The sequence below is a fragment of the Homo sapiens genome, chromosome 5, assembly GCF_000001405.40.
Source record: "Homo sapiens chromosome 5, GRCh38.p14 Primary Assembly".
Taxonomy (NCBI): domain Eukaryota; kingdom Metazoa; phylum Chordata; class Mammalia; order Primates; family Hominidae; genus Homo; species Homo sapiens.
In genome coordinates, this window is record NC_000005.10 from 107,464,236 (window position 1) to 107,476,715 (window position 12,480).

Consider the following 12,480-nt stretch of genomic DNA (forward strand, 5'->3'; position numbering starts at 1 on the left):
GCTTTGGTCCACTCTCCTGTCCTCCAGGGGTATATGTCTCAGAATATCCCTCCAATCTTCACTACCCTTGTCACAACCCAGGCCCAGGGATACCTTCTGATGAAGATGACAAGCAGCCCCTGCCCCAGCCCCAGAATAAATGAAAGACAGCAAGATTGTACTTTAGCAAAGGTGGGGCAAGACATGGAGGTGATGCTGCTGCTTCAAAATCGATTGTTGTGTACATCCTCGGGGAGCAAAGGGGAGAAATTCTGCACTTAATTTTCCGGAGAAACAAAGCATCACAGAGGATTCTGAGCCCAGACCTTCTCCTTCTCTGCTGCACTGCTCCTTCTCTAAGGTGAACAGTTTCATTTCCTGCCTGAGCTTTCTACAATGAAGTCCAATAACTCAGCTCTCTGCTGTCCTGACAGTTTAGTTAAACCTACAGAGGAAAATGTTACAAATACAATCCCAGGCAAGAGGGGAGTTGCCCATAGGCTCAAATTAACTACCAGTCCCCAAATAGCTAACCCTCACTTATCACACAGAAAGAATTCTGAAGCAAAACCAAATCCATAAGCAAAATTCATCACGCCAGGAAAGAGGAGAGGGGAAAATAAACACCTCAAGTCCACAACTACTGTTTCCAACTCTCCCTCCTCACTCTGCGTCCTGACAGAGACTATGTTCGCAGCCATCCCTCTGCCTGAAGAGGTAAATCTGTTTTTAATGCAAAACTCCTTTTCTCTCTCTCTTTTTTGTCCTTGAGACCAGCACTGAGCTCACCGAGGAAGCACGGCCTAAGGGTTTACACCTGTGACCCAAACTTTCCATTCTGTGTGAGGCTTTTTTTTTTTTTTTAAGAAAAACAATTCAAGGGAAGTTTCCGAACCACTGCTTTTCCTTAGGCCAATGGTTACCAACAGCGACAGCAAAGCTTTTCATTTTCAAGTGTGACCCAATTTATGACTTACATTACACCAGATTTCACCTTCACTTCTTTCCAAGGCCCTGCGAAGGCCGTCTTTTCTTGCATACTGGAAAGAGTGAACATCAACATTTTAAGCCTCTAAAGATAATGGGTGACGGTTACCTAACATGACAACCCAAAGTCATTTCTCCCTGTTTCCTAGATCTTGTTCTGTCACAACTTATGTAGAACATTAGAAGAGTTAATATGGACAGGTGAGTCCTAAAAATGAGTCTTGGACAGCTCATAACATGGCAGAACACCAAGGTTTCACCGCTTTACTCCAAAGACGCCACGTAAATGTGGCTTTGCCTCTTAAAGCATGAGCCAATATGACAGCAAAGCTGACATGGTGATCATGGAGTGATGACAGTTAGCTTCTGAGAACTTAAGTCCAACATAATTGAAAATCAAATAAATAGGTAGTTAAATAACTATCAGAGGTTTTATTCTCATGCAAATCCATCACAGCAGCGTAAGAAATGTAGGGATACAATCATGGTGACAGTCTTTGTTCAATCTCTGGCTAGTCCAGATTGCTTGCAGAGATGTTCCCTCATTTTAAATGTACTGCCATGGTGTCTTAGTATATCACGAGGGGAGAAAAAGGCCCCTCACAAAGATACACACACAATCCAAGCAGGATAGAGCCTGAGATCCTCACTGAAAAACAAAGAAAAAGGGAATGAACTCAGGTTCACGGCTACTGGTACCAGACATGTGCGGTGTGCTCTGCAACCACCTGCCTTGCCCACTACACCCAGCCACACTGTGAAATCAAGACCGGGTATCTCATTTTCAGCTCTCACTCATAGGAGAAAGTCGGGAGCAGGAGGAGGCAGACTAACTTACATCAAGTCACCTTGCTCCTAAGCACACAGCTAGGACCCAACCGCAGGTGCTTGTGACTCCAAAGCACTTTTCATCACACCTTGATTCCAAAGACGGTGCTCGAGTTATTTAGAGATGCAGCCCTTTGCTAAAAGAGTCTGCCACTGCACTGCCAAAGCTTCTTTCATGATACCAAAGTTCCACTGTGGATTTAGAGACAATAGACGGCTCATAAGTCGTGTTAAGCCATGATGTGTCAAAGGTGCAGGTATTAAATGCTGAGTCATTGCTATGCTTTGCAGAGATAATACTTCATCCTCCCTGCCCAGTCAGCTAGGCTTGGAGAAAGATAGCTCAAGCAGAGCCGGGCACCAGAGCGGAAATGCTGGGAAAGGTTTCTCTCTCCCAGACTCCCTTCTCCACTCCCACACCTCAGCAAGTCTCAGTGTCTGCCTGTTTTAATGATTCATGCACAGGAGAACAAGGCTGATGTCACGGGGCCAAATCTGGGTGAATGGAATGCTACCCTTCCCAGCTGTGCGGCATGAGGAATGTTCTCGCGAGATCGACTTAGAGAAATTTGCTTTGAGACACTTGCCTTTCTCACTTTCTGTCACAGTTAATGAAGTCAGATCTCCTGTTTGTACACCACTCACTCGGTGTCTACAAGAGGAGATAAGGCAAGCTCACAAATCCCTAGTCTGTAAGTTAGTGTGGTGAGTCTGGTAGGTGAGATGCACAAAGGCTTGAGCGTTTGGGGTGGGCCATCAGGAAAGGGCTCCAGAAGCATTGGCATTTGACTCCAATGTTGTGGGAAGTGTGATAGCTGGAGCTGGGGCAAATGGAAGGCGCTATACTAGGCTAAGAGAAATACCGAAGAAGAGATAACAATCCTAAATTAATTGGGAAGAGCGTTAGGTTTGTCTTAAGTATTTCTTTTATTCTTCCACAGCTCAGATTTCAAGCCTATCTTCATTGATGGAGCCTTAGTCTCAATAATAAGGAAAACCAATCTTTAGAAGATTACTAAGAGGTTACACAGTAATTTACATTTAAATAGGTAATTACTGAACAAAATCGAAATAAAAATCTAAAGGAATGATTGTAATGGTGGAATTTTAGACAACATGCCAAGTGGAGGGGCCATCTCAGCATCTATCAAATCTCATCACTTAGGGCAGTACTTTCAAAGTGAATACCTAGACCTTTAGCAGTGTGAGGAGAACTACAGGTGATATGTGGATATGGCATTAACAAACAATGAATGATGTAATGAGAAAAGTAACTCTATGAATCTTCTCTCAAGCAGTCAAGAAAAAAAAAGTCTCACTATAGTGCTAATAGGTCTTTAACACCTCTCTAGCACTGGCTAATCTCTCCTTTCAATAGAGAGAAAGAGCAGGCTTCTGGATCTGAGGCTTGTTGGCTTATGACAATAATATGTACATTCATAGCAAAGGGACATTTGGAAAAAGGCTATAAAGTTTCCATGAAAAAAATTAGGTAAAAAAAATAGTGTCTATTTGAAAGAAAAATATTAAGCAAATTCTGACATAGGTGATATGCGCACATGGCAAAAGTTGTGAAGGTGGCACGTGGATAACCAAAGTGTGAGAAATCCGGTCTCACAGCCTGTTCATCAGGCAGCTTTACCTTTGGGCTTTATTGACCTAGAAGTAAAATATAAGAGTCAGAGTCAGCAGGAAAAGCCAGCTCTGAGTGCTAATGGCAGCGGACCCAGAGGCAGGGCATGGAAATGTTACCACGCTGTCTTTCCCAGGCAGAAGCAGGAAAGAGACCAGTGACCCACTGTCCAAGGTCCTTTCCTTTGCACAGCAAATCAAAAATCATCAGAAAGAGGTAACAAACATAGGCTACATACATGTGGACATCAAAATCAGGCTTAGGGTTTTTCATGGGAAATTCATAATCATATTATAGCTATAAGAATGAAACATTTACAGCCAAACTTTCAATTATGACATAGCATTTTGTTCTATTTTCATGATCACACTTCGTTTAATGCTCAATATCACTGACATCTTGGTAGAACGGATAGCATACAAGCCATATACCATTCTTTTTAAAAGCAGAGTTATGCAAAATGTGCTTTAAAACATGTTGTGAAGAAATGCAAAATCACAGTTTTTAAAATGGGAAGAAATCTTGACTGCCCTTTGTTTTGTCAGAAGGAAAGTTTATCACCCAATAAAAAAGAAATTATACTTGTAGCTTTAAATAGGCAAGAATCACATTGTCAAAATGCACATATTTTCTTGGAAATAGTCACCCTTAGGCAGGAAAAACAAAATTGCTTTTAATGACAGAAATTTTTAGATTGTGCTTGGAAGGGAAGGGTGTTTATAAGAAATAAAGCTAATGAGTCAGAGAGCAAAATAAAATGAATGGTGCAGTTCCTCACTTGACAGTGCATAACTTGATAAGAAATCAAGCTCTGCTAGCAGCAATCATTGAAACGTCCATTCTGAACTGAATGGTGCCAGGTGACTGTCCTTAGAAGGAGGCACTCCTAGCCTGGAGGTGCTTTTGAAATCTTCCAGGACTAAAGAATCACACCCTTAGAAATTAAGGAATGTGTTCCTGGGTGTGCAAGAGTTAAAACCTCACCAATGTTGGCACTCTACCAGCTTTCACAGTTCTTTTGGTTGAAAGCTTACATTAAAACTCATGAAATTAAACTCATTAATTAATTCTTTGTGTTTTCTTAACAAGGACCCATCAGCTACATGTGATGTAGAAATAAACAATTGAAAAGGAAAAAAAAAATAGGCCATACAGGTTATTTGGCATCATGTAAGCATTAAGGAAATACAGCTGCTTCACTAAATGACATTTTTTAAAAAGAACAAGTCTGAAATGTTGTTGTCAAACCAGTTTATGTGTTGATAGGAGCACAGAATTTAATTACTTATGGGTGATGGAGGAGAATATAGATTCTAGCACACCTGGTAAAATTTAAACCACATTCTGCCACAACCACCAATGAATGTTTAGCAGGACCAACTAAGTGCTTAGCATTTTGAATTTGCAGGATCCAGTGCAAAATAAAAATGTGGGGCCCCTTGTTAAAACATTATTAAGAATTTCAAGATGGTAGCAGCACAACATTCAACCAAACACCAGGCCCTTTTGAACACTGGGTCCCATGTGACTACCCCAGCCCAGCATCCATGAAGCTGTTCCCTGCGCTCCTCAACTGCAGTTACACTTTCAGGCCCCTAAGAAAGTACCAAACCAGTGGTACAGACTTGCCCATCCTACATTCATAAGAAAATAGATCCTCAAATGCCCTAAACAATATTCCCCTTAATAGATTCAAAGATTGATCTAATTTTGGTATTTCCTCTTTCTTTTATTTTTTTTTGCAAGCCTGAATAAAGACTTCTCAAAATATTTCAGTTTCCTGCTGCGGAGCTAAGCCAAGGAATGGCTTGGTTGTTAACAACAGGCAGTTCAGTATATTGTAAAGGAAGAAGTTAACAATCATCTGAAAGTCAAGGCCTGTAGCCCACCACCTTCTGACTGACCTTGCCACAGTGGTGTCTTTCTTTTCTTGTTAATGTGTCTTTCAACACTCAAACAGGATGTCAACTATGAGAGAAGTTACTGCCCCCCCTTTATTTTTTTTTTTTACCACGCACCCAAGAGCTGTTTCCACATCACAAGAATCCCTGTTACTTTCCAGTGAATGACTGTGCATTGTGGCTTAATCTCAAAAGGAAGTAGACGTATAATACCTTAAAAGAAAACAAACATGCACACACAAATACCAGAAAGAGAAGTCATCCCACAAATTCCACCTCTGAATTCTAGCATCATTTCTTGTTTCTCCATTTGGAAGCTTCAAATTATTCTCTTTAACAACTCTTTCTAGCAATGAAATATGAAGAGGTGATGATTTCCTCCAAATTAGGAGGACATTAACAATTAAGTGTTAATGCGAACACCGTTAACAGTAATGCAATTATAACTGTATTCCACAAAGGGCAATAGGAAATAATTACTCTGATTCTCAAGTGATAGATAGTTCCAGGAGAATGAGATTCTCAGTCTAAAATTCATTAGGAGGGGCTCTGAAACTCACATACACACCTACAGCTGGAGAGCCGCTCCTTTGCTGTAATAACCCTGTAAGTGCCAAATCTGGCATTCTCTTGCCATCTGCTTTTAGTCCCAAAAAATGGCAACAGTGAGGGTCCTGGGAACACTAACTTGCTGCTTCTGGGGCTACCATACAGCACTCAGATCCTGATAGGGCTTATCTGAATAGCCAGAGATGCTATTTTAAGCCTCCAAGCTGGACCCAAAGCAAATGACACCCAATTGTTATTATACGGCTTCTGAGGATGATGAAGTATATCCAAGGAAATGACTAATCTCCAATTATCATATGCATGGCAGCATTGAGACTTGACCAGAGAGAATGGTATAATAGCAGTGAAACCATTAATGTCTGTGTCAGTCTTATTTGATTAAAATTGGAGGACTAAACAGAGAAGCTGATAGAATCAGTCAGTTGCTGAAGTTTTCTCCTAATGATGCATAGATGGGAATTTTAAAATGTGCCTCTAAATTCTATATCAATTCTCAATTTCGGCACTCCTTCAACAATTCATAAATTCTTCTCCCCTTTAATATTTTAAAGATTAACATTGCTGATAATGGATAAACTAAACTTTTTGAAATTTCACTTCTCTATTCTGTACTTTGTGGTGGACATGTCCACAAGAATGATGAAATGAAATCAGGACAAGGCGGAGGCAGGAGAATCACTTGAGCCCAGGAGTTCGAGACCAGCCTAGGCAAAATAGCAAGACCTTATCTCTAAAAAAAATTAAAAATAAAAATACACGAAATCAGGAGTAAGATGTCTTTTTTATCTCTTTTCTTCAAGAAAAACCCATCTACTAAGTTCTGATGATTTCTTTCTTGATATCCTTCTCAGATCTCTCAGAACCCATTTTAATACCGCAGGCTCATGCAATACTATTGTCACTCATGCAATTAGTATAATTACCTTCTAGCTGGTCTCACTTGTCTCCTTATCGCCTCCCAATTCATCAGGCTTTCCCAGGTTAGGAACCCCAGTGACTCCCTATTCTGTAAAATCAATTCTAATTTGTGCTTGGTCCTTCGCACTCCCCATATTTTGGTAGCATGGAACCTATCCAGCCTCAATTCCCAGGACTCTTCTGTAACCTGGTCTTCTCACCTGCTGTGCAAACTCCTACCTTCAGGCCTCTGTTGATTCCCCCTTTTTGCCTCCAATTCCCTCACTCCTCCACTGGGCTTTCTTCAGTGGTTAAGTTCTGTTAAGCTTTCATTACCTTCATAGCCCACCAAGATCTCTTCCCTTTCTGAGACTGCACAGGACTGAGGATATTATTACACTTAATGTGTGCAGTTACAGAGATTATTTTTTCTAAATCTGAGACATGGTCCCAGTAACATTTTATATTCCTTGGCATTGATAAGGATCATGTCACTATCTTGTCTTTATCCTTCATTTTGGGGCACATGGTCTACAAATTCATGCTAGTCAGTTGATGATAGAAACATTAATCCTCCAACTGAATAATGTAGCCTGGATAACCGATAATGAACTACTTCTACTAATAGGTGAATCCACTTGTAAATTATGGGTAGGGCAAGGCCATGTTGCTTAGTGATGGCTGGACCATGGATTGTGATTATTTACAACAGCTGAAAAGATGTATTTGGTGATCCATCCACATGTGAATGGTAACTAATGAAAAAAGAATTTAAACATCAAAGAATACAGTATTCTCCTTCATAGCTTGGTGTTGTAGCTATAGGGGATAATAAAGACAGTGATATTACATATGTAGTAGTTCTTACATGTAGTTGAAGATTTATCTATTGTTTCTTTTAACATTTAATAAGTTATATCCATGTCCATACGTTTTAGAAATAACTGCTATATTGTTTCAAAGAGTGCAAATAGCCTTAAGTCTGCAGTGATATACACAAGTTCTGAAAAGCTATAGATATTCACAGAAAACACATGCACAAAGCCATACACACAAAATATAAAGTTTGATTGAATAATTTATTATTCCAGAAAAACAAGAGTAAATGTGGATATTAAAGGAAATAAAGACAAATCCATTCTCTACAATGCTTGGGGGCTAATTTAACCTACAGTAATTAGACATCTAGCAGATCTCACAACTAGTCAAACCAGTACTTCCAAACACTTGTTTTATTACATGTTTTGTCACTAGGTTACGATGGCGTCATCAAATATTTTTATCGTAAGCGTCTATACTTGCAGTGACTCAAGACCGTGTTTCTCTCAGCTACTGCAAATAATAATGTTAATAGTATTAGTGATGATAAAAATTGTAACACTTTGGATGTTAAAAACACTAGAAGTTGTTAGTAAAGGTCTCTGGAGATTTCTACTCAGAATTTAAATGAGAACTTGAGATAATTCTTACACTCCTGGCTGCAAATTAGCAACCATCACTCCACAGCTTTCATATTAAAACTATGGGTACTTGAAGACTTTAGTCATTAATAAACTTTGCCCAAAGGACATTAGCAAAAGGCATGCTTCAGGTGATGGGATAGTGCCTCCCAGGACAGTGGGACTTGTCAGACTGTGCAACAGGATCCCATGGACCTGTCTCAATCAAGTTAATTAGAGACATCTGCAGCACAGAGATCAAGCCAAGCCAGCTCTGGCAGCTTATTTGCACCAAAAAGGTACAACTCATGTGGGAGGTAAGAGAGCTAGAATGACAAACAGATAGAGATCAGTAACGTGAGCTGGCTCAGTCATCTGAGTGTACTCACTGTTGAAATAAAGCTGGTAGGACCAAGGGATGCAAATGTCGAGCTGATGAAAAGGCTGAAGGATATTTGAACAAACCTTTGATATTCTTAGCCCCTGCAGGCATCTCAACACTGTAAATGGAGCCCCCAGTCTCCCTCCCCCCAGCACCTGCTTGAACTCTTCATTCACCTATACCTTACCTCCTGGGGTTGCTCTCACTCATTCCAGGGACCCCAGCCACCGTTTTTCTGCAAACAACTCTGCCCTCTTCCAAGATGTTGTTACTGATGGAGATCTGATGTTGGAAGTTGTAGCCTTTGTACTGCTGACATTGGTTGAAACTTTGCCTCTGAAACTTACACTCTATTCGACCCAAATCTTGACTCTAAAAAGCCACATCATTCCCCATTGCTTCCAGGTCTGATTTTTTTTTTTTTTTTTTCAGTCTGAGTCTACTCATCTTAGTGGAGTTTGGGTCTTTAAATATTTCTTTTATTCATTCTCCTTGTTGATATCATTCTTGAATTCCCTAAACATGATAGCAGCCAGCTTCTAATGAATTCCACTTATTCTACTTTTCATATACACACCAAGAAGAGCCAGGTGTCTGCTCACTGGGGAGGCAAATAGAACTATGCCCAAAGTCAGAATGTGACTACAACAGATTTAATTCTCAAAGCAGAAGGAATCTGAAAATACAGGTAGCCTAACACTCTACAATTTGGTGTGGAACAGATGCCAAACCATGACACATTCTTCCAGCTCTAGAACGTGTTATGATCCGATATTCTAATTCATTAACAATCGGATTTTCACTTGAATTTTTTTTTTTTTTTTTGAGACAGAGTTTCGCTCTTGTTGCCCAAGCTGGAGTGCAAATGGTGTGATCTCGGCTCACTGCAACCTCTGCCTCCCGGGTTCAAGTGATTCTCCTGCCTCAGCCTTCTGAATAGCTGGGATTACAGGCATGTGCCACCACGCCCAGCGAATTTTTGCATTTTTAGTAGAGATGGGGTTCCACCATGTTATCAAGGATGGTCTTGATCTCCTGACCTCGTGATCCGCCTTTCTCGGCCTCCCAAAGTGCTGGGATTACAGGCATGAGCCACCATGCCTGGCCTCATTTGACTTTAACATCCACATAGCAAATACATGACTATCATGCTTTTGACACAGATCTCCATAAAAGACAGATTGTAAACTGATGGCCTGTGAATCAATTTCGGCCCTGTACACTTGAGTTTAGCCAGTACAATGTTTCAGAGTCATCTGAACCAATATTTAGAAACCCAGAGATTTCAAATAAAGTACATGTTTCTACCTTCTCTTGAAAACTTGGATGATCAGATGCCACTGGCTCCACATTCTTCTTACACAGAAATATTCTGCTGGAGTGGATGACACCCAGTTTGTACACCAGGTCTGATTTTCTCACTTAGGTACCTGCCGGCTGCATTAGCCATGAAAGTTTGCATCCCTTGCCAAAGCACCCACGCCTTTGTCACTTTTCAGTATACCAAGTAATCAATAATATTTTACAGATTGTTTTCCATTTTAAGAAATGGTCATCAGCACTGAACAGCCACAATGGAGTTTTCAAGGATTTCAAACAGTCTGAGTTCAAATCTAGTATGTAAAAATTTCCCAGAGGATCAGAAACCCTTGTTGAGTTTTCCTCCAGGCATGACTAATACAATACAGGGAGGTGCTGTCATGCAACCATGCATCTTTGCATTACGAACGAGGAATGGTTTAATTGCAATTCACCCACCTATAGCATCCTGGGATGGCTTTATCCTGTTGAAGGGCGTATCTTTAGGCCACTAACTTTGTTAAAATATGTCAGGCCTGTTGGTATCAAATATTGGCTAACACAGGAAACACCACCTCAATCTTGTTAAATATTTTTAGCAAGAGGCCACCATGTTCCAGAATGATGCTGGCTGACCTGCCAGAGGCAAGAAGAAGCCCCGAAGATCTAAGACAACATAAATGAATGACTAATTAAGGGCCATTCTAAGGGAAAGGACAATTATGTTGACTCATAACTGTCTAGGTTCCTACCATTCAAGGCCTATACAATTTACATAAAAATCATTGTCATTAGAAAAGTTTCTGTCCCACTGTTAAGACAGTGTTTGTGCAATGTGAGGTTACTTCCTGCTTCCACAATATGACTGTGCTTTACTAAACAAACTTCTGAGCTAAGATGTTTACTTGACTGGGAAATGACTACTAATAAGCTGTTAAAGGATGTATCCTCAAGTTACTACTTGTGGCATTTGTAACACGCTCCCTGTTGAACAAAGGTGTCACAGTAGCACAGTGAATAAACAATCCTTTTTTCTCCCTGTAAGTTATACGATATTAAATGTTAATAATTAATTTGTCTTTGTGGATTAACATACAAGAGCTTTTCAAACAGGTACTGGTGCAACCCCACCCTTGTGAGATGGCTAATCATTTCACATACTTCACACTTACCCAGCTATCAGTATCACTGACCTCAGCTAGCAAAGTGTGAAACGGCAGATGGTTTGTAGTGTTCAGTAATGTCCTATGAAAATGTAGCACAGAAAACTGCAAAAGGTTTTGGGAGAGAATGGTGGTTTATATGAACTTTTCAAGAAACTCAAGAGAAACAAAATGCCACCACTGTCCACGTCAAAGGATCTGGTGAGGATCCTGGGAGAAAAATGTCAAGAGATTCTAAGGCTTTCAGTAGCACAATATTTTCAAAGTGCTTCAGAAGTTATTTCAATCTGCTGCATTGCTAAAGGGGAACAGAGCCTGAAAAGCCAGTATAATTTTGAAGGCTGTTCAAGGACTATGTCAGCAACATTCTTACCCTGCATAAGACTTATACATCTTAAGACAGAAGATTTGTCTAGGGTATCCACAATCTGATTACATATTTCTCACGAGAACTACCCCAAAGTGCAAGCCCTTTGTGTTGTTCTACCTGAGATGACATGACTTCAGCCTCAAAATACCCAGGCTGAACTGTTTCTGGAGCAATGAGATGTTGTTAATGAATATCAACACTTCCCAGATCCTTTAAAAATGCTAATATCAAAATATTTTACAAGAGTGAATTTCAAACTGTGTTCATGTTTTTCACAGCACGGCACCTGTTTGAAATGGTACAGTTTGAACATCTATAAAACATGAGATGGAAGATACCAAGGTGGCTTGAGAGTTTTTAAACTATATATATATTTTTTTTTTTTGAGACAGAGTCTTGCTCTTGTTGCTCAGGCTGGAGTGTAATGGCGCGATCTCGGCTCACTGCAACCTCCGCCTCCCAAGTTCAAGCAATTCTCCTGCCTCAGCCTCCCGAGTAGCTGGGGTTACAGGCACCTGCCACCACGCCCAGCTAATTTTTTGTGTTTTTAGTAGAGATTCGGTTTCACAATGTTGGCCAGGCTGGTCTTGAACTCCTGACCTCAGGTGATCCACCCACCTCAGCCTCCCAAAGTGCTGGGATTACAGGAGTGAGCCACTGTGCCCAGTCAAGAACTATATTCTTGAGAGCAAAATAGAGTATATTATACTTAGAATGGAACTATGTAAACCTTTACACATCTGTATTTTCAAAACAAGAACCCAGAGCTGTTCAAGTGATAAACAAAATCATCAGGTGGCTTGTTTAGAGTTTCAAAACAGACCCTTCTATTCCTGCTGTTTCTCCCTCTGGTTTCATTAAATATAAAACAAATGAAAATGACCAGTTCAATAGGGATATCTGACAGAATTTGGGGAGAAACATTTCATTAGCTTTCTATGAAGTCCAATACCTGTAATTTTATGTATCAGGACTCTCTGATTTGAAGTCCCTACAGAAATGCTTTATTCTTAGTCCATTTAGCTGCCCTTA

The 12,480-nt window shown here is 40.3% G+C and overlaps 1 protein-coding gene across 3 annotated transcripts in view, besides 3 other annotated features; it reads right to left on the bottom strand.

Annotated features, from left to right (window-relative positions):
• EFNA5 (ephrin A5) overlaps positions 1–12,480 on the bottom strand; it is a 294,044-nt gene that overhangs the window by 87,342 nt on the left and 194,222 nt on the right. The gene's annotated exons all lie outside the window — the stretch shown is intronic.
• Positions 1,315–1,816: an enhancer, noted in NCBI's record as "H3K27ac hESC enhancer chr5:106801251-106801752 (GRCh37/hg19 assembly coordinates)". NCBI's record gives its function as "activates a minimal SCP1, AML or CMV promoter by ChIP-STARR-seq in primed H9 embryonic stem cells {active_cell/tissue: H9 hESC(primed)}" and the evidence as "EXISTENCE:reporter gene assay evidence [ECO:0000049][PMID:30033119]".
• Positions 8,278–9,032: an enhancer, noted in NCBI's record as "OCT4-NANOG hESC enhancer chr5:106808214-106808968 (GRCh37/hg19 assembly coordinates)". NCBI's record gives its function as "activates a minimal SCP1, AML or CMV promoter by ChIP-STARR-seq in naive H9 embryonic stem cells {active_cell/tissue: H9 hESC(naive)}" and the evidence as "EXISTENCE:reporter gene assay evidence [ECO:0000049][PMID:30033119]".
• Positions 10,501–10,650: an enhancer, noted in NCBI's record as "active region_22863". NCBI's record gives its function as "activates an Ori minimal core promoter by ATAC-STARR-seq in GM12878 lymphoblastoid cells {active_cell/tissue: GM12878}" and the evidence as "EXISTENCE:reporter gene assay evidence [ECO:0000049][PMID:35858748]".